Source organism: Homo sapiens, chromosome 3, assembly GCF_000001405.40.
Source record: "Homo sapiens chromosome 3, GRCh38.p14 Primary Assembly".
Classification (NCBI taxonomy): Eukaryota; Metazoa; Chordata; class Mammalia; order Primates; family Hominidae; genus Homo; species Homo sapiens.
In genome coordinates this window covers 196,270,616-196,291,218 of record NC_000003.12, presented here as the reverse complement: position 1 = coordinate 196,291,218, position 20,603 = coordinate 196,270,616, and the positions used below count along the sequence as shown (strand labels likewise).

Here is a 20,603-nt window from a genome sequence, read left to right as displayed (position 1 = left end):
TCTGTTGTGTTTTAGGCCTTATATTTTTAATGTTTTGATTTTGTTACACTATGTTCTGTTTCTTTCTTTCCTTCCTTCTTTCTTTCCTTCCTTCCTCTCTCTCTCTCTGTCTCTCTCTCTCTCTCCCTCTCTCTCTCTTTCTCTCTTTCTTTCTTTTTTTTTTTGAGACAGAGTCTCTCTCTGTCGCCCAGGCTGGAGTGCAGTGGCACAATCTCGGCCCACTGCAACCTCCGCCTCTTGGGTTCAAGTGATTCTTCTGCCTCAGCCTCCCAAGTAGCTGGGACTACAGGCAAGTGCCACCACGCTTGGCTAATTTTTGTATTTTTACTAGAGACGGGGTTTCACCATATTGGCCAGACTGGTCTCAAACTCCTGACCTCATGATCCATCCATTTCAGCCTCCCAAAGTGTTGGGATTACAGGTGTGAACTACTGCGCCCGGCCCTACTATATTCTTGTTACACTGGAACACAGAGAAAAAAGTAGGGGAAAAGCCATTTCAATTGTTCAAACATAACCAATGGTAAAAATTTTGGTATATTTTCTACCAATGTTTTTTATTTCCAAGGTTTAAAAAACATATAATTTTGTACCCTCATTTTTCATTTCTCATGATGTTATGAACAGTTTTTATGTCATTTTATTTGCATTATGATTTTAAGATGCATGACTTAATAGCGGCATTTATTTCAATAGGTTATACCATATTGTTATTTTTGCCAGTTCCTTATTGAGGGTCTGCTTATTTCTGATTTTTCACTATTATAAAAAATAAAGACATGGCTTTATTTGTGCATAAAGCTTTTTCCTACATCTTTAAAATAACTTTTGAATTTATTTATTTTTATTTTCAGAGAATGGGCCTTGTTCTGTTGCCCAGGCTGGGGCACAGTAGCGGGACTGTAACTTGCTGCAGCCTTGAACTCTTAGGCTCAAGTGATCCTGCCACCTCAGCCTCCTGAGTAGCTGGGACTACAGGCATGCCAACACACATGGCTATTTTTAAAAAATGTTTATTTTTATTTTTTTATTTATTGAGACAGAGTGTTGCTCTGTTGCCCAGGCTGGAGTGCAGTGGTACGATCTCGGCTCACTAACCTCTGCCTTCTGGGTTCAAGAGATTCTCCTGCCTCCCGAGTAGCTGGGATTACAAGCAGGCACCACCATGCCCACCTAATTTTTGTATTTTTTTTTGTACAGATGGGGTTTTGCCACATTGGCCAGGCTGGTCTCAAACTTGTGGCTTCAAGTGATCTGCCTGCCTTGGCCTCCCAAAGTGCTGGAATTACAGGTGTGAGCCACCACACCTGGCCAGTAATTTTATTTTATTTATTTAGTTTTTGAGACAGAGTCTTGCTTTGTCACCCAGGCTGGAGTGCAGTGGCGCCATCTTGGCTCACTGAAACCTCAGCCTCCCAGGTTCAAGAGATTCTCCTGCCTCAGCCTCCCAAGTAGCTGGGATTACAGGCATGCGCCCCCACGCCTGGCTAATTTTGTATTTTTAGTAGAGGCAGGGTTTCACCATGTTGGCCAGGCTGGTCTCGAACTCCTGACCTTGTGATCCGCCCATGTTGCCCTCCCAACAGTAATTTTATTTTTTATAGAGATGAGGCCTTGCTATGTTGCCCAGGCTAGTGTTGAACTCCTGGCCTCAAGTGATCCTCCTGCTTTAGCCTCCCAATATGCTGGGAGTACAGGCATGAAACACCATGCCTGGCTGCTTTTTCCTACATTTTGAATTGTTGCCTTCATCTTTCTCACACAGTGTTTTTGCTCAGCTCTTGCCATCCTATGTCTTACATAGCTTATTAGCCTAAACACCCATCCATTTTCTTTGTCCACAGTGTCAGGGTCTTATGAAATTCATCCTCCCTTAAGACTGAGATTCTGATGTTGGTTACTATCTCAACTCTATTTTTGTAGTGATGTTCCCCTTAGAGGCCGCGGTGTCTTCTCCAGCTAACTGTCCTTATTTGGGGTACCTTAGTCTAACCGCCATGTTCAAAGACATATTTGAAATTCAGGTTTAAATCCTTTTTCCCCCTGGAAACTCCTCAGCAGATGCAGTTATACCCATCCTCTTTCTTCTCAGCCACTTTCAAGTTAAGCATGTAGACCAAGCTTGTCCAAGCCGCGGCCCAGAACAGCTTTGCATGCGGCCCAACACACATTTGTAAACTTCTAAAACACATGAGGTTTTTTTTTTTTTTGCGATTTTTTTTTTTAAGTCATCAGCTATTGTTACTGTTAGTGTACTTTATGTGTGGCCCAAGACAATTCCTCTTCTACCAATGTGCCCCAGGGAAGCCAAAAGATTGGATACCCTTGATGTAGACAAAAAAAGCAAAATAAAATAAAAAAAGCAAAGCAACAACAATAGCAACAAAAAGTTGACTGGGCGCGGTGGCCTGTGATCCCAACACTTCGGGAGGCTGAGGCGGGCAGATCACTTGAGGTCACGAGTTCGAGACCAGCCTGACCATCATGGTGAAACCCCGACTCTACTAAAAATACAAAAATTAGCCGGGCGTGGTGGCGCATGCCTGTAATCCCAGCTACTCGGGATGAGGCACGAGAATCCCTTGAACCCTGGAGGCGGAGGCTGCAGTGAGCTGAGATCGCGCCACTGCACTCCAGCCCGGGCGACAGAGCGAGGCTCCGTCTTTTAAAAAAATAAAAGAATAAGTAAATAAGTTTAAAAGGTCTTTTACTTCAGTCCAGTTGGTAACTAAAAAATAATAATACATTTTTTTTACATCCTTCTTCCATAATATTGTGTAGCCTCTTACATCTACGGAATCAAAAGGGATCCTTCCCAAGGTTCATTCTAGCAAAGGAAAACGTTTCTTTCCACCATACACCCTGCGACACGTGTCTTAATCCACTCCTGCTCAACTGGCTCCCAGTGGATCCCTAGGGATTTTTTTTTTTGGAGCCAACGTGGGTCAGAAAAAGGAAGAGGGTGGGTCAGCCACAGGTTTTCAGCGGACTGGGCTGGCGGTCGCAAATTCCCCTTACTTCCCCACGTAGGTAAAAGCTAACGCTGCGGCGAGGCAGCCGCGGTCGGGGCGTCTCCGCTGAAGGCGCCCGGGCCTCCTGCACGTTGGCTGCCCGGGTGCGGGGGTGCGGGCTGCGGTAGGCGCGGAGGTGCAGCGGTAGGACCTCCGCGCACAGGCCCGCCTGGGCGGACACAGCCCGAGTTGGACACGGGAGCAGCCGGGCAGCGCGTCTTGACGGACCGGCGAGCACTTGGGCCGGTTCACATCCGTATCCCACTTCAAGGAGACGTCTTCGCTGCATCCTCCGGTTCCGGGTGGAGGCTGACCCTGGGCCATTCCGTCTCCGGTCTCTGGTATTTCTGCTGGGTCACTTCATCCCGGGGGCCTCTGAGGAGGCGGAACTACTGTGTCAGGAGTCGTGGTTTTCAAGGAGAAGTCGTGGTCGGATTGACAGAGGTAGGGGAAGTAGGCGGAACTTCCGGCTGGCTCTTCCATCAGCTGCCTTCCCCGGGCGTCTCCCCGCAACCTCCTCAACTTCCCTAGTCAGTGACGCGGCGCCGGCCAGAAATCCGACCGGACCGGGCTCGGGGGAGCGTGAGTTGCAGGTGTGTGCCTATCTTTGCGTCTCTGTTTGAGAGGACAAACTGTGGGGCTGGGACCGCGAGGTGACTGTGACTGAGGAAGAGTGGTAAGTGACAGCGAGGGCAGTGGGAGCCAGGGGCTGGGAGGCTACTGTGACCGAGGGCCAGTGACAGCGAGGGGACTGTGACCCAGGAGCAGTGAATGCGAAACACGGTGACCTCGGAGAGCGCGAGGCCGGGGCTGCGACGGCACTTGGACCGAGGAAGTATGAGGCAGTGACTGCAAGGGACTATGATCAAGGGGCAAGGACTCCAAGGAGACTCTGATCGATTGGTAGTGACTGTGGGGGATCCGGACCTAAGGGAACACGAGCAGCGGCCGCGAGGGGACTCCGACCCAGAGCAGTGACTTCGAGGGGCTGACTTGGAGAAGAGGATGGCATCCGTGATGGGCGATGGCGCTGTAGGGTTGTGTTTGGGCACGGGGTGTGATTGGCCGTGACTGGGCAGAGAAGGTCTTTAGTGGAAAGAACACTGGTCTGGAACTTAACAGGCCTGAGTTTAATTTTTACGGACAAACTTCACCACTGAGTTACAGTTTCTTCATCAGTGAATGGGAAGTTTGGACTAGTTTAATGCCTCCCACACTATGGGTTTCTTCCTAGTATTGAGCTGTGAAACCAATTTAGTGGATGGAACCTGTACTTTTTTTCTTTTTCTTTTTTTGAGACAGTTTCGCTCTTGTTGCCCAGGCTGGAGCGCAGTGGCGCGATCTCAGCTCACCGCAACCTCCGCCTCCCTGGTTCAAGCGATTCTCTTGTCTCAGCCTCCCTAGTAGCTGGGATTACAGGCATGCGCCACCACGCCCGGCTAATTTTTGTATTTTTAGTAGAGATGGGGATTCTCCATGTTGGCCAGGCTGGTCTTGAACTGCTGACCTCAGGTGATCCACCCGCCTAGGCCTCCCAAAATGCTGGGATTACAGTGTGAGCCACCGCGCCTGGCCTGAACCTGTACTTTTCTTTTAAAAAGTGGAATAGAATAGAAACTTTCAGTGTGTTTACATAGTAAGGGTAAGTATTGTTTCATGTGATTTGTTTGAGTTATGTGTGTATGAGATTATGATGTAAAATAGATTTTGTACATCTCAAAGTGTAAGAAGCAAAATGTACTTTAAAAGTTTGAAAAACATTGGACCGGATGATTTCTGAGTTTTCTTTTGGTTCTAAAATGTAATGATTCTATGAATAGGGAACTCTTTGGAAGTACAAAGATGCAATTGGGAACAGGCTGTATTAGCCTGGCCTAACTGGAGGAGGCTTCCTGAATGTAATTGAGGTGACTAGCTGTGAGAGCTGAAACTCGGCATCTCAGTTGGGAGAACCAGAAATTATATTGAAATAGGGACACTGGGCGGGTGTGGTGGCGCATGCCTGGAATCCCAGCTACTGGGGAGGCTGAGGTGGGAGGATTGCTTGAACCCAGGAGGCGGTGGTTGCAGTGAGTTGAGATTGTGAGACTGCACTCCAGCCCGGGTGACAGAGGGAGACTCTGTCTCAAAAAAAAAAAAAAAAAAAGGGACAGTGGTATTTGTGATATTTATAGAGGCAGTGAGGATTTAGGGGTTTGTGGTATGAGAAACTGCTCATGAGGAACGGGAAGCTTTGAGCGTAGGAACAAGGGTTGGGAAGGAAACTCAAGATAGGGGCAGAAAATAATCTGCCAACAATAAAATGGAAGTAGGAAGGCAGATATGACCTCCAGAGCCTATTTATCTTGATATTTAGTGATTTGGCAAGTACAGAGAATTGCTAGTAAAAAGACATTGAGAATGGGATTTAGTGCAGTAATAGCAGTAAACTATGACCATGATGAGAAAGAAAGGGGGACAAAATGATGACACTCGCAGTGTCAATAATGGTGATTGGGATGCCACATGGGAGAGACTTCAATGTACTTAGCTCTCTAATTCAATGATTTGTACACTGAGGCCAAGCCTGGCATGCTAGGAATGATACCACACTATGGGTAATGTAAATGAAGCTTTAGCTGCTGACTTTATTTCCTACACATTCCCTTTCTTTAGGGCTGTGAGTGATGTAGATGAAATTAAAGTGAATGTTACTACTTCCTTCTCTCTTACAGCCCTTTTTATTTTATTTATTTATTTATTTATTTTTGAGACAGAGTCTCACTCTGTTGCCCAGGCTGGAGTGTGCTGGCACGATCCCAGCTCGCTGCAACCTCCGCCTCCTGGTTCAAAGCGATTCTCCTACCTCAGCCTCCTGAATAGCTGGGACTACAGGCATGTGCCACCATGCCTGGCTAATTTTTGTATTTTTAGTAGAGACAGGGTTTCACCACGTTGGCCAGGCTGGTCTCAAACTTCCGAGCTTAGGTGATCTACTAACCTCAGCCTCCCAAAGTGCTGGGATTACAGGTGTGACCACCACGCCTGGCCTTACAGCTCTTTTTAGAAGGTGCTATTGATTGTGCCACCAGTGCTTTTTATAATAGGAGAAGTATGAGGTCATTTAATTTATCGTACAGTGTATTAATCTGATAACCACTCCTGCCCCCTACACTCTGTAATAGGGGAATAGAGTTCAGATAGGTTCTTGAATGGGAATGAGTTGAGAATGGTGGGGGATAGCCTTTTCTTGGCTAAATAAATTGGTTAGTTACACCTTTTTCTAGCACATTAGATGTTTACTTGACTTACATTCTACATAGCTAAAAGGAACTACCCAGGGGTTTCTTCTAGAACAGCATCTATGCTTCAAGGTAACAGACTGTGGAAGAGGCTTGGGATTCAGCAGTACTCCCTCTAGGGTCTTTTTTCTTTGCTGAATGAAATGAATCTTTTTGTAGGACAAAAGATTTGCTTTGCAAATTCCCTTTGAAAACTAGCATGATGGCCTGGTTGATAAAGAATGAGCTTCATTCCCCCTCAGTCTATGACTCTCCTCCCATAAGCAGTGGGGTTTTATTTTCCCTGGGGACCTGCTTTTTGGATATGTGATCCCTTAAGAAGAATGACCTCGTCAGATAGAGCCTGGACTTAGCAGTCCCTGGTGACTTTCTCCGATGTTAACATTTACTCGCCCTGTGACTATGTATGGAAAGCATTATTGCTTTCTCTTGTTGTAGATTTTCTAACCATGGCCAGAGGTAACTCTTCTTATGATTAAACAGCCCTTTAATAATCTGAAATATATGTGAACTTACCAAATTTTGTATGTAATTTCATAGAGTTTGTAAACCATCTGACTCCATTTATAATTCAGAGCTGTCTGGCCTTTAAGTTAGACAGTATTTCCCTAGGGAGCTGAATAACCTCTCCTAGAGATGTTATAAGTGCTGATGAGAATTAGTTTTTGAAATGCTCAAATAAAAAGCATAATTTTCCATTGTTATTAATGATGGATAATAGCAAAATATCTGCTAATAATAGTAGAGTTCTTACTTAAGCATCATGCTTTTCTAAGTATTTACATAACTGATCTGAAGCAGACCTTCTGATTTTTCTACTAATAGAAATTTCCCTTTCTGAATCAAGCAGAAATAGGTCTCCCTTACATCAAAGTTTGTGTTACCTTGAAATAGATTGGAAAGAATACATTTTTGTAAAAGTCATTTTTTTCTTGGATTTGTTTCCAGTTGGAGAAACCCTAAAGTCAGGGCACTTGCCAATTATCACAGGACTGTGAGAGTCCCTTTTTTGCTCAAGATTGTGGCTGGCTGCTTGTACATCTTTGACATTATCACACATCAAGCATATTAGAAAAAGGGGTGACTTGGGAGAGTGAGGGGATCAGCACTTTAGGCCTTGTCAACCCTCCTGCTTATCTGCTTGGCAGCTTCTGGCATCTCCTTTTCCCTAAGTCCTTGAACCTCTTTCCTAAGCGTAAACCTTTCTGTTTTTAGTCCTAAACCTCTCTTTTCACAGTATTCCTGTCAAATGAGTACTTAAACACATGTTTCATCTGTGATTTGTTTTGTTAATTGCTTTGTGGATTATTTGTGGCAGAATTTAAATCCTAATTCCTTTCTACAATTTAGCCAGTAAATTCAAGGAATGTACCTTTTTACGTTTGCAGCATGTGCCGAAGCGCCACCTCAGAAGATAAAAAGAAATGAGTCTCATATTTGGCATTCTTTTAGGTTTGTTACCTACCTTATTCATTAATGTAAATAATTGAATTACCTGTATTTTACCATTCGTAAACCAGGTTAATAGATATATATTAATAGCAGGCTTTCTGTGTGTGTCTTTTCCCTCCTTTCTTTCTATTTATTTATTTATTTATTTTTTGAGACCAAGTCTTGCCTTGTTGCCCAGGCTAGAATGCAGTGGTGCAATCTTAGCTCACTGCAAACTCTGCCTCCTGGGTTCAAGCGATCTCCTGCCTCAGCTGGGATTACAGGTGCCCGCCACCACGCCCAGCTAATTTTTGTATTTTAGTAGAGACGGGGTTTCATCATGTGGGCCAGGCTGGTCTTAAACTCCAGACCTCAAGTGATCCATCCGCCTCGGCCTCCCAAAGTGTTGGGATTACAGGCGTGAGCCACTGTGCCTTGCCCCTTGCTTTCTTTTGGGAATTCTCTTGTACCACAAGTTGAAAGTTATATTAGTTTGAGGCTTTCTATGTTTGGACTAGGATGACTGCCAGTGAGCCAGGGGAACCCATGAATCTGCTAGGCTGTTATATCACATTCACAACTACTTGCAAACCAGTTTTGAAGTGAAGGCTGCCAAAAATAATGACATATGGTCCCTGCTCTATAGAAAATGAGCATATGACCCTTAATAAAAAACAGGTAGTTTTTTTATATACAGAAAATTACCCTAAATGTGATTATGTTTCTTTATTTTTTGACCGTAGAACAGGAATCTTAATCTTTTTTGTGTTATGGACTCCTTTGGCAGTGTGGTGAAAGCTTTTAGAGTTCCTTTTTGGAATATGTTTTTATATGCAAAAATAAAATACATAGAACTATAAAGAAAACCAGTTATATTGAATTATATTGATATATAGTTATCAAAATTTAAGAAGTATGATATGGTATGAAAATATCCATGATTTCTACTGGTAACAAATCCATTTGTCTAATAAGTCTGCTATTACTGCTGTAGCTTATGTTCATCACTGAAGTGAAAATAAAGATACAGTCTTTTTCATCCAAATTCACAGACTTCCTGAATTCTATCATAGACCCTGCCTCAGAGATATGAGTTCCATAACCCACTCTAGGAAGATCACATTCTAAACACAAGAGTTTACTCACCAAATATTCTGGTAGAATAGTGGCAGAGTAAAATTGTTCAACTGTAAGAACTATTACATGTGTCCCTCATGGTTTTTTCTTTCCTGAAATATTCTACTACATGTCCAGGCCGAAGAAGTATAAGCTTTATTATGTGTGCCAGTGGCTAACCCAGGGTCTGGCACAGAGTAAGTGCCGCTCAGTGTTTGTTGAATAAGGGTTTCTCTGACGAAATTAGAGGGAAGAGATCCAGTTCAAAGCTAAGGTCTTAAATGTGACAGTTTATAGGGCTCATGACAAGTAACGTTGAACTTTAGTTTAGAACTAATCTGTCAGAGAAGCTCATGTTTTGAAATTCACTTTTACATTTATAAGTTCTCAGCCTGGTGTGATAGTTCATACCTATAATCCCAGCACTTTGGGAGGCTGAGGTGGGAGGATTGCTTGAGGCCAGGAGTTTGAGACCAACCTGGGCAGCAAAGTGAGACCCCCATCTCTACAAAAAATTAGCTGGGTGTAGTGGCATGTGCCTGTAGTCCTAGCTACTTGGGAGGGTGAGGCAGGAGGATCACTTAAGCCCAGCAGTTCGAGGCTGCAGTGAGCCATGATTGCACCACTGTACTCGAAATAATTCTATTTCTAACACTGTTTTTCACTTTAGATTGGGTAAATTTAGGTAGAATTTGCCACCAAATTATTAATAAAGCTGGTCCTGATTTCATCTAGGATGAGAGGTAGCAAACTTTTTCAGTAACGGGCCAGATTGTAAATAGTTTAGGGTTTGCAGGTCACACAGTATCTGTGACTACTCAGCTCTGCTGTTGTAGCACAAAAGCAGCCATGGACAATAAACACATCAGTGAGTGAACATGGCTGTGTTCTGATCGAATTTTAATTACAAAAACAGGTAGTGGGCCATCTTTGGCCAGCTAGCTGTAGTTTGCTGACCCCTGATCTAGATTTTCTGGTTCTTGAGTCCAGCTCTTTTCCCTACTTTCGCTTAGCCATATACTCCTTCAAGCTTCAAAGGCCTTTACATAGGGGGCAATGTCCTTACACTGTTATCTCCAGAAAGACCTGAGTGTACAGCAAGATGATAGGATTAATGAATGCCAGGAATATTAGATGCACTTTAACCCTTGAGTTTCCAGAGCTTGCCTCTTAGAGCACCAGCTCATTAAGCACCACCACGGTAGAAGCAGAGAAACATCCCAAATGTAAAGTCTGCTTGCGCACTCGGCTTTGGAACTGGGCATTGATATGCTGATAGAAAAATACTGGGCATTGGGTTTTAGTGGGGAAGATAATGTAGGCCTAGAGATGGGGAAGGCAGGAATAGAGTGCAAAGGAAAAATTATGCCTCATCTTTTTGCAAATAGTTCCTTGTAGTAATTGGTCAAGTTTGAGTTAGATTTTTGAAATGTGGAATAGCATATGTAATTGCAACTTGCTACTACAAGAGCTCACCCTTAGTCGCAGTTTTACTTTCCGTGGTTTCAGTTACCCACAGTCAGCCACGGTCAGAAAATAGGTGAGTATGATGTAGTAAGATATTTTGAGAGTGAGAGAGAACAGCCACATTCAGATAACATTTATTACAGTATATTGTTATAATTGTTTTATTATTAGTTATTCCTGTTAATCTCTTACTGTGCTTAATTTATAAATAAAACTTTATCATAGCTCTGTGTATATAGGGAGAAAACAAAGTAGAGTCAGCCCTTCGTGGCCATGGGCTCCACATCCGCAGATTCAGCCAAACTTGGATCGAAAATATTCAGAAAAAAAAAAAAAAAAAAACAATAAAAATACCAATACAACAATAAAAAACAGTACAAATAAAAAACCAATATTGTATAATAACTGGTTACATAGTATTTACATTGTATTAGGTGTTGTAAGTAATGTAGAGAAGATTGAAAGTATATAGGGGGTATAGATTATATGCAAATTCGACACCGTTTTATATATATAAGGGACTTTTGAGCATCTGTGGATTTTGGCATCTGCAGGAGATCCTGGAACCAGTGCCCTGCAGATTCTGAGGGACAACTGTCCATATAGGGTCCATACTCTCTAGGGGTTCAGGCATCTGCTGGCGTCTTGAAACATTTCCCCTGTGGATAAGAGAGGACTCTGCTATATTTAGATTGTTACATAGTTCAGGAAGCAAAGTCCAACTCCTCTTTCCCTTGGTAGGTCTGTTTGCAATAAGGAAGTTGAATAGAAAGGATTGGATAGGCCGGGTGCGGTGGCTCACGCCTGTAATCCCAGCACTTTGGGAGACTGAGGCGGGCAGATCACCTGAGGTCAGGAGTTCAAGACCAGCCTCAACATGGAGAAACCCCATCTCTACTAAAAATACAAAATTAGCCAGGCGTGGTGGTGCATGCCTGTAATCCCAGCTACTCGGGAGGCTGAGGCAGGAGAATTGCTTGAACCCGGGAGGTGGAGGTTGTGGTGAGCTGAGATCGTGCCATTGTACTCCAGCCTGGGCAACAGGAGTGAAACTCTGTCTCAAAAAAAAAAAAAAAAAAAAAAAAAGAAAGGACTGGATAGGAGTCCCTAAAACTACTTGTAGGAGCCTATCATCTTTCAGACTCAAGCATAGACATGCCAGCACCTAGATTCTGTCTCCTTCAGGACATTCACATTGGAAAAATATGACTAGCTGTATCCTTAGTGTCTCCTCAGTGCCACCCCTCCCTCCACAAACACATCTTCCACTTGTCTAGCAAAGCTGATGTGCCTCAGCAGGCATGTGTTGGAACGTGGAGGAACAAGGCAAGCAGTGTGTACTGGTAGGTGAGTCAGCAGAAACCAAACCAGGTCTTTGTGAGTCGGAGTAAAAATCACAGGCACAGATACTGCATTCTGTATTTCGAGGGCACTTTGGAGACACTAATGTACTTAGCAGGCAGGGTGTTGGGGGATGGGTTTTTATGTCCATATTTAGAGTCTGTGCTCAAATTTCAGTGATTAAGATAAGGTGACTTATCTAGGGAGTGAATAGGCAGCAGTTGGAAAGATCAGGTCTTAACAATTGCTGTATTCTGGCTGTCAGCCCTTTTTTTTTTTTTTTTTGATAGAGTTTCACTCTTGTCACCCAGGTTGGAGTGCAGTGGTATGATCATGGCTCACTGCAGCCTCCGTCTCTTGGGTTCAAATGATTCTCCTGCCTCAGTCTCCTGGGTAGCTGGGATTACAGGCACCTGCCACCACGCCCAGCTTATTTTTGTAGTTTTAGTAGAGACCGGGCTTCACCATGTTGGCCAGGCTGGTCTCGAACTCCTGACCTCAGGTGATCCTCCCGCCTTGGCCTCTCAAAGTGTTGGGATTACAAGTGTGAGCCACCACACCTGGCCTAGCTTTTTTTTTTTTTTTTTTTTTGAGATGAGGTCTTGCTCTGTCACCCAGGCGGGAGTACAGTGGAACGATCTTGGCTCACTGCAACCTCTGCATCCTGGGTTCAAGCGATTCTGCCACCACAGACTCCCAAGTAGCTGGGACTACAAGCATGTGCCACCACTCCTGGCTAATTATTTGTCTTTTTAGTAGAGATGGGGTTTCGCCATGTTGGCCAGGCTGGTCTTGAACTCCTGGGCTCAAGCAATCCATCCGCCTTGGTCTCCCAAAGTGCTGGGATTATAGGCATGAGCCACTGTACTGGGCTGTTATAGCCTTTTTGACAAAGAAAGTGTTCTGGAGGATGAACCACTAAACAAACAGGAAGTGTTGGCCCATCCTAGTAGGGCTCTTGAGGGAGGTTCTCTATTCTATCTCCAAATACTTTTCTTCCTGTCTCATTCCTAAGGGTCAGTCTGCAGGGCATTGAGTAATGCACTGCCCCATGTTCGCCTCCTACTGTATTGGCTCTGAGGAGGCGCGATCATTTCCCAGTCCCATTGCCCGCTGGACAAACAGGGATATTAAGGCAGCCTGTGTGTGTGCGTGTATTTTTTTTCCCCTTTGAATGTAGATATTTAAAGCCACCTCCTTTTCCAGAGCCATCACTGTACCTTACTTGAATGGTATTGGTTGATGACAGAGGCGCACTTATCATAAACTGAGAGTCCAAGAAATATTGTTCCTCATTGTTGGAGGTATTCCAAATGGTTACTGGGCAGTTATCGATGTTGTAATGGTGGTGTGGCTTTAGGTACACCTAAGTTTCAGTGTAACAAATTAAGAAGCCAACACGATGTTAGGATGTATTTACTGTCTTCAGTACGCCCTCATCCTCCCACACACCTTTTCTCTACACTTTCTCAGTAGCAAAGGTGATGTGTCCGGGCAAGCATCTATTGGAACATGAGGGAGACTGGGGGTACCTTTTTCCATGATTTTAAACATCAGTTATTATTCTGTATGCTTTGGTGCTGCGGTTATAAGTTAGTAGATGTGAGAGAACATTGGGATGGCATAAGAAGGCCGGGAAAAAATGAAAAAAACTTGTGAGACCTACAGAGTAAAAGTTTATTATTGTTATTATTATTTTGAGACAAAGTCTCGCTCTGTCGCCCAGGCTGGAGCGCAGTGGCGTGCGATTTAGGCTCACTGCAACCTCCACCTCCAGGGATCAAGTGATCCTCCTGCCTTAGCCTCCCAAGTAGCTGGGATTACAGGTGCATGCCACCACGCTCAGCTAATTTTTGTATTTTTAGTAGAGATGGGGTTTCACCATGTTGGCCAGGCTGGTTGCGAACTCCTGACCTCATGTGATCCACCCACCTTGGTCTCCCAAAGTGCTGGGATTACAGGCATGAGCCACCGCGCCCAGCCCAGAGTAAAAGTTTAAACAGCAGTAGTTCTAGAGGAAAGTCATGAGGAGTAATCTTTGCATAATTTCTAAATTCTTTTAGGGTTATCATTATGGAATATCTGTGACCCAGATGTTTTCCATCTCCTGAGAAGTGGATGAGATAAAGAAGTGTCTTACACTAAAACCCAAAAAGCAGTGGGTGTGTTTTATTTTAAATCCGAAGGATCTAAAGACTTCAGTTTAAAGAACAGTGTAGAATATAATGTAAAACCCAAAAGTCATCTTTAGAAAATAGAAGAACTGTATGTAAGCAGATAAGGAATAGTATAAACACATAATAGTGTAAGCAGGTAAAGAAAAAAATATATATATTTTTTTGAAATGGAGTCTCACTCTTGTCACCCAGGCTGGAGTGCAATGGCATGATCTTGGCTCACTGCAACCTCTGCCTCCTGGGTTTAAGCAATTCTCCTGCCTCAGCCTCCCAAGTAGCTGGGATTACAGGTGCCCGCCACCACACCTGGCTAATTTTTATATTTTTAGTAGAAACGGGGTTTCACCATGTTGGCCAGGCTGGTCTTGAACTCCAGACCTCAGGTGATTCGCCTGCCTTGGCCTCTCAAAGTGCCAGGATTACAGGCATGAACCACTGCATGTGGCCTTTTTTTTTTTTGAGAAAGGGTCTCACTTTGCTGTCCAGGCTGGAGTGTAGTGGCATGATCATGGCTCAGTGCAGCCTTGACTTGCTGTTCTCAAGTAGTCCTCCCACCTCGGCCTCCCGAGTAGCTGGGACTACAGGCATGTGCCACTACACCTGGTCAATTTTTCGTAACTGCAAATATCCTATTCCTCAGCAAACTTTCACCCCATGGTTTTAGAATCCTGTAGAGCATTTTTATATCATAAGCATTTTTGAGGTGGAGCTCTGTGTGTGTTTTCCATGCCTTAATTGAAGCTTCCTTGAGAAAATAGTTTGTACTTAATTTTTTTTTTTTTTTCATTTTTTGAGACGGAGTCTCACTCTGTTGCCCAGGCTGGAGTGCAGTGGTGCGATCTCGGCTGACTGCAACCTTTGCCTCCCAGATTCAAGTGATCCTCCCGCCTCAGTCTCCTGAGTAGCTGGGATTACAGGAATGCACCACCAAGTCTGGCTAATTTTTGTATTTTTGTAGAGATGGAGTTTCACCATGTTGCACAGGCTGGTCTCAAACTCCTGACCTGAGGTGAGCTGCCCACCTCAGCCTCCCAAAGTGCTGGGATTGCAGGCGTGAGCCATTGTGCCTGGCCTTTAATTTTTTAAATTGATAAATAATAGTTGTTTATATTTATGGGATACAATGTGATACTTCGATATATGTTTACATGTGGAATGATTAAATCAAGCTAATTAACAAATTCCTTGCCTTATATACTTATTTTTTTGTGGTGAAAACATTTAAAATCTACTCTTTTAGCAATTTTGAAATATAAAATGCATTATTATTTATTTTGTTTTGGTTTTTTTTTTTTTTGGAGACGGAGTCTCACTCTGGCGCCCAGACTGGAGTGCAGTGGCACGATCTCGGCTCACTGCAAGCTCTGCCTCCCGGGTTCACACCATTCTCCTGCCTCAGCCTCCCCAGCAGCTGGGACTACAGGTGCCCGCCACCACGCCTGGCTAATTTTTTGTATTTTTAGTAGAGACAGGGTTTCACTGTGTTAGCCAGGATGTTCTCAATCTCCTGACCTTGTGATCCGCCTGCCTTGGCGTCCCAAAGTGCTGGGATTACAGGTGTGAGCCACCGTGCCTGGCTGCATTATTATTTATTATAGTCACCATTCTGTGCAATAGATCACTAAAGCTTATTTCTCCATTCTTTTTTTTTTTCTTTTTTGTTGAGACAGAGTCTTACTCTGTTGCCAGGCTGGAGTGCAGTGGTGCGATCTCAGCTCACTGCAACCTCTGTCTCCTGGGTTCAAGGGATTCTTCTGCCTCAGCCTCCCGAGTAGCTGGGATTACAGATATGCGCCACCACACCCAGCTATTTTTTGTACTTTTAGTAGAGATGGGGTTTCACCATGTTGGCCAGGATGGTCTCGATCTCTTGACCTCGTGATCCACCCGCCTCAGCCTCCCAAAGGCTGAGATTACAGGCGTGAGCCACTGTGCCCAGCCTGTTTCTCCTTTCAAAACTGAATTTTTGTACTCGACATCTCCCTTTTTGCTCTCCACCCTCTTCTGTCCATCTCTTGTAACCACCATTCCATTCTGTACTTCTGTGAGTTCCACTCTTTTAGATTCCACAAATAAGTGAGGTCATTTGTGGTATTTGTCTTTCTCGTCTGGCTTATTTCACTTAGCATAATGTCCTCCAGGTTCAGTTTGTACTTAAAAATTATGATACAGTACTTTGTAAGCAGTAAGTACTCATATTTTTGACTGCCTGATATTATTGACTTGCCAGATGCCAAATTGCTGATTATATTTCTCATAGTGGATTTTGTCTCTCTACACTTAGAAGAATTGAGCAGATACTTACAGAAGAGTACTGTGCAAATTAGAAAACAATCATTAATTGGATGGATTAGGCATTTTGAGTAGTTCACTCAGACCACTGAGATGAGAGTATTGACCTCTGAATATTATGAAGGAATCATTAAGAACAATAGTGAAGACAAGCTCTGATCATCATCACTGAAAGAACTCGGAGTGAAATGTATAGAACCCTTCTTCCATTTTAATTTGCATTTGTGATGAAAGGAAGTTTCTAGGTGGTGCTCATCTTTCACTTTCGACTCTGACATTTTTTCATGTTGGCCATGACTCATGGGGTGTCACCTTCAGCTTCTAAGAATTAGGCCAGTTTCTTGTAGATCTTGTCATATTGCCACTCGGAGTTGAGCCGGAGGAAAGAAAGTAAGGCACAGTTGCAGTTGTTTAGACGAACATCTCAGTCAGGCTTATGAGAGGCAGTAGGGCAGAGCAGACTGTCCTCATTCTGTCTGGCATTGGTTTTCCACCTGTTCTGAAGATTTTTCTCTGAACCGTATCTTGTGCAGAGATGACAGTTTATCATAGAGTTTCCCCTACCCCCAATTTCTGGCTGATTCCTAAAATTTCATCAGTATCAAGAAAGTAATTTATTTGTACAAATTGTGTTACTTAAGAAAAACGCAACTATCCCTGCAGGGGGCTGAAAAGCCAACATCTAAATGATGGCAGCGGTGGCCTGTCTGGATGGGCTGCTGCCATGATGCCGGCTGCAGTCGGGGAGGCATGGTCTGTGCTGCACGCTCCATGGAGCCACTGGGAGCTGGGAGTAGGTGGAAGCCCTGCCCGTTTCCAAGTTGGCAGGGCGGGAGCAGCCGTGGCTACATACCCGGGCTTCCCTGTGCTTTTGGGGGCCCAGGAACCTCCCCTGCCCCTGCAGGCTTGAAGTGCCTGCTCCCACTGCCTGGCCTCTCCTTGCTCCTGGTGCCTGCTCTGATTTTGGAGCAAAGTTGAGGCCAAGCCTGGGCACTGTCATGACCTGGCTGGGTTTGCGTGTGCTAGGGGCAGTGCTGACATGCCAGCCCCCTTCTGCCTTGGCCCCCTCTGGATTTTGGGTGTCCAGCAGCACAGGAGGGGACGCCAAGGCGGAGCTGAGAGCAGCTCCATTCAGGCCTGCAGGCGCCCCTTCGTGAATAGCCTGGGCGCTGTGGACAGCAGGTTGATGACAGCAGGAGGCAGACAGGCTCCTAGGCGGAAATGGGCGGGTCCCTGGTGAAGCCCCACCTTCAAGCCAGGGATGGCCTGAAGCCTGGGGCCCAGGCTGCCAGTTCTGTGGACTGGAATGAGAACTTACGATGCTTTTTCCGGGCTGCCTGTGGCTGCCCATGGACCAATCAGCATGCACTTCCTGCCCGCTGAAGCCCGTAGAAACCCTGGACTCAGCCATACTTGATGGGATGACCTGCCTGCGGATAGGAGCTTCCCACTCCAGGTCTCCTCTCCACTGAGGGCTGCAGAGACGTCAGGATGACCTGCCTGCAGATAGGAGCTATCCACTCTGGGTCTCCTCTCCGCTGAGGGCTGCACAGATGCTGGGACGACCTGCTGCGGAAAGGAGCTACCCGCTTGGGGTCTCCTGAGGGCTGTTGTGTTGCTCAATAAAGCACCTCTTCACCTTGCTCGTCCTCCAGTTGTCCATATACCTCATTCTTCCTGGACGTGGGACAAGAACTCGGGATCTGCCAAATGGTGGGACTGAAAGAGCTGAAACACAAACAGAGCCGAAACACGTCCTCCCCTCCCCCACTGCTTGCCACGCTGTGGGCAACAGAAAGAGAGAAGAGAGGAGAGAGAAAGAGAAGAGCTGTAGCCCTTTGGGAAGCCCAGACCTAGGAGCTCCTTGAGCCAGGGCTGTGACACCCTCTTTGGAGCTCTGTGGTTCCTGGCCTCTCCAAGCTTCTGGGCAGCACCATGTTCCCCAGTGCCTGCAGTGGAAGCTGCTTGTAGTACGCCTGGTTCAGCTGCAGCCTCTCAGGGAGCTGGCGCCTCGAGCTGCTCACCCCCTGGCAGCTGGCGTGCCTGGCTGTGCGCAGTGGCCGGACCCTGTGCTGGCTCGCCTGTGCACCTCTTGCCGCTCCGTGCCTGGCTTGTCCTTGGCATGCATGGAATCTGTGCTGGTAACACAAGCTGAGCATAGCCTACCAGGCTGAGTGGACGGAACGAGCCCGGCGGGCCTGAGCAAAACTCAGGCAAAGGTGCCACTGGCCACAGAGGTTTCTGGCTAGCGAAGTGACACCCCAAGTATTCTGTGACTTAAACATGAAATACAGAATATTCAGAACTTTGCTGTAATAGCTAGTTGCTAGAAACTCTCTGCTAAATGAGACAATAATAAATAAGTTCCTTTGGGGGAAGGAGAATCCCTGAGGGGGTTTTAATAGCTGGAAACTGTGAACAAGCTTGAGGTGTTAAGACCCTGAAAGAGGAAAGGGAAATGAGTACTGAGAAAAGAAGGGGAAGGGCCAGGTGCAGTGGTTCACACCTGTAATTCCAGCACTTTGGGAGGTCGAGGTGGGTGGATCACCTGAGGTCAGGAGTTCAAGACCAGCCTGGCCAACATGACAAAACCCTGTCTCTACTAAAAATACAAAAATTGGCTAGGCGCCATGGCTCACGCCTGTAATTTCAGCACTTTTGGAGGACGAGGCAGGTGGATCACGAGGTCAGGTGTTCGAGACCAGCCTGGCCAACATAGGGAAACCCTGTCTCTACTAAAAATACAAAAAATTAGCCAGGCGTGGTGGTGGGTGCCTGTAATCCCACCTACTCAGGAGGCTGAGGCAGGAGAATCGCTTGAACCTGGGAGGCGGAGGTTGTAGTGAGCCGAGATGGTGCCACTGCACTCTAGCCAGGGTGACGGAGTGAGACTCTTTCTCAAAAAAAAAAAAAAGGAAAGAAGGAGAAGGACATTTAAAAAATACATTATGCTGGTCCTAGCTATTCTGGAGGCTCAGATGGGAGGATTGCTTAAGCTCAGGAGTTTGAGGCTACAGTGTGCTATGATTATGGCTGTGAGAGCCGAGATCGTGCCACTGCACTCTAGCCAGGGTGACAGAGTGAGACTCTTTCTCAAAAAAAAAAAAAAGGAAAGAAGGAGAAGGACATTTAAAAAATACATTATGCTGGTCCTAGCTATTCTGGAGGCTCAGATGGGAGGATTGCTTAAGCTCAGGAGTTTGAGGCTACAGTGTGCTATGATTATGGCTGTGAGAGCCGAGATCGTGCCACTGCACTCTAGCCAGGGTGACAGAGTGAGACTCTTTCTCAAAAAAAAAAAAAAGGAAAGAAGGAGAAGGACATTTAAAAAATACATTATGCTGGTCCTAGCTATTCTGGAGGCTCAGATGGGAGGATTGCTTAAGCTCAGGAGTTTGAGGCTACAGTGTGCTATGATTATGGCTGTGAGAGCCGAGATCGTGCCACTGCACTCTAGCCAGGGTGACACAGTGAGACTCTTTCTCAAAAAAAAAAAAAGGAAAGAAGGAGAAGGACATTTAAAAAATACATTATGCTGGTCCTAGCTATTCTGGAGGCTCAGATGGGAGGATTGCTTAAGCTCAGGAGTTTGAGGCTACAGTGTGCTATGATTATGGCTGTGAGTAGCCACTGCGCTCCAGCCTGGACAACCTAGCAAGACCCCTAAAAAAATAAAAACAATAAAAAAGTAAATAAAAACCATTATGCTACTCCACAATTTTCATGCAAGTAACTCTGGTGAAGTGGTCACTGAAATCTATAGAACTTTTAGAGTTAAGAAATTCACTCAGTGATGTGGTTCATGCCTGTCATCCCAAGTCTTTGGGAGTTTGAGTTGGGAGGATCACTTGAGGCCAGGAATTCAAGACCAGCCTGGGCAACATAGCGAGGCCTGTCTCTTAAAAAAAAAAATAACTAGGTGTGGTGGCATGTGCCTGTAGTCCCAACTACTTGGGAGGCTGGGGCAAGAGGATCGCTTGAGCTAACGAGGTTGAAGCTGCAGTGAGGCAAGATCATACCACTGCACCCCAGCCTGGGCAACAGAGTGAGACCCCGTCTTAAAAAAAATTAGAGTTAAGAAATCCGTGTTTTGTTAATCCAGGACTTGGTGAGAGCCATCCGTTTACAAAAGGCTCTTTTCTCTACCTGCACCAGTCATACCTTCACATTGCCTTATACCTGTCATATCGATGATGCGGAGGATAGTGGGAGAGTCTGTGTAACTATCTTTCTCAGCCAAATTATTCCAATCTTTTGCATGCAATCAGGATTTAAAATGAGCAGTTAGTATGTAGGCTGCACTGTGAGGGGGAATGACTTCCGACTTCAGGCAATTCACTGTGGCCATTGTTGCACAGAGAGGCGTTTCAGTATTTCTACTAGAGCCTGTGTTTTGTGAAGCTTCGCTGGTTTTGCCAGATGCCATTGGCTCATCTTGGTGAAGTGCAGCTGTAGAATTGGTATTTTGCTGAGTGTATCCACGTCAA

The 20,603-nt window shown here is 45.3% G+C and overlaps 1 protein-coding gene across 2 annotated transcripts in view, besides 8 other annotated features; it reads left to right on the top strand.

Moving 5' to 3' along the window:
• Positions 3,067-3,176: a silencer, noted in NCBI's record as "silent region_15059". NCBI's record gives its function as "represses an Ori minimal core promoter by ATAC-STARR-seq in GM12878 lymphoblastoid cells {active_cell/tissue: GM12878}" and the evidence as "EXISTENCE:reporter gene assay evidence [ECO:0000049][PMID:35858748]".
• Positions 3,350-4,009: an enhancer, noted in NCBI's record as "H3K27ac-H3K4me1 hESC enhancer chr3:196014081-196014740 (GRCh37/hg19 assembly coordinates)". NCBI's record gives its function as "activates a minimal SCP1, AML or CMV promoter by ChIP-STARR-seq in primed H9 embryonic stem cells {active_cell/tissue: H9 hESC(primed)}" and the evidence as "EXISTENCE:reporter gene assay evidence [ECO:0000049][PMID:30033119]".
• PCYT1A (phosphate cytidylyltransferase 1A, choline) overlaps positions 3,493-20,603 on the top strand; it is a 53,359-nt gene continuing 36,248 nt past the window's right edge. The window contains exons 1-2 of one of the 2 annotated variants that reach the window (NM_005017.4): positions 3,493-3,604; positions 7,681-7,744. The gene's annotated coding sequence lies outside the window, so the exon portion shown is untranslated. The remainder of the gene's footprint in view (positions 3,605-7,680; positions 7,745-20,603) is intronic. The other variant, NM_001312673.2, reaches the window with a different exon arrangement.
• Positions 3,557-3,906: an enhancer, noted in NCBI's record as "active region_21085". NCBI's record gives its function as "activates an Ori minimal core promoter by ATAC-STARR-seq in GM12878 lymphoblastoid cells {active_cell/tissue: GM12878}" and the evidence as "EXISTENCE:reporter gene assay evidence [ECO:0000049][PMID:35858748]".
• Positions 4,010-4,670: an enhancer, noted in NCBI's record as "H3K27ac-H3K4me1 hESC enhancer chr3:196013420-196014080 (GRCh37/hg19 assembly coordinates)". NCBI's record gives its function as "activates a minimal SCP1, AML or CMV promoter by ChIP-STARR-seq in primed H9 embryonic stem cells {active_cell/tissue: H9 hESC(primed)}" and the evidence as "EXISTENCE:reporter gene assay evidence [ECO:0000049][PMID:30033119]".
• Positions 4,127-4,176: an enhancer, noted in NCBI's record as "active region_21084". NCBI's record gives its function as "activates an Ori minimal core promoter by ATAC-STARR-seq in GM12878 lymphoblastoid cells {active_cell/tissue: GM12878}" and the evidence as "EXISTENCE:reporter gene assay evidence [ECO:0000049][PMID:35858748]".
• Positions 11,607-12,219: an enhancer, noted in NCBI's record as "H3K27ac-H3K4me1 hESC enhancer chr3:196005871-196006483 (GRCh37/hg19 assembly coordinates)". NCBI's record gives its function as "activates a minimal SCP1, AML or CMV promoter by ChIP-STARR-seq in naive H9 embryonic stem cells {active_cell/tissue: H9 hESC(naive)}" and the evidence as "EXISTENCE:reporter gene assay evidence [ECO:0000049][PMID:30033119]".
• Positions 16,258-16,467: an enhancer, noted in NCBI's record as "active region_21083". NCBI's record gives its function as "activates an Ori minimal core promoter by ATAC-STARR-seq in GM12878 lymphoblastoid cells {active_cell/tissue: GM12878}" and the evidence as "EXISTENCE:reporter gene assay evidence [ECO:0000049][PMID:35858748]".
• Positions 17,636-18,135: an enhancer, noted in NCBI's record as "H3K4me1 hESC enhancer chr3:195999955-196000454 (GRCh37/hg19 assembly coordinates)". NCBI's record gives its function as "activates a minimal SCP1, AML or CMV promoter by ChIP-STARR-seq in naive H9 embryonic stem cells {active_cell/tissue: H9 hESC(naive)}" and the evidence as "EXISTENCE:reporter gene assay evidence [ECO:0000049][PMID:30033119]".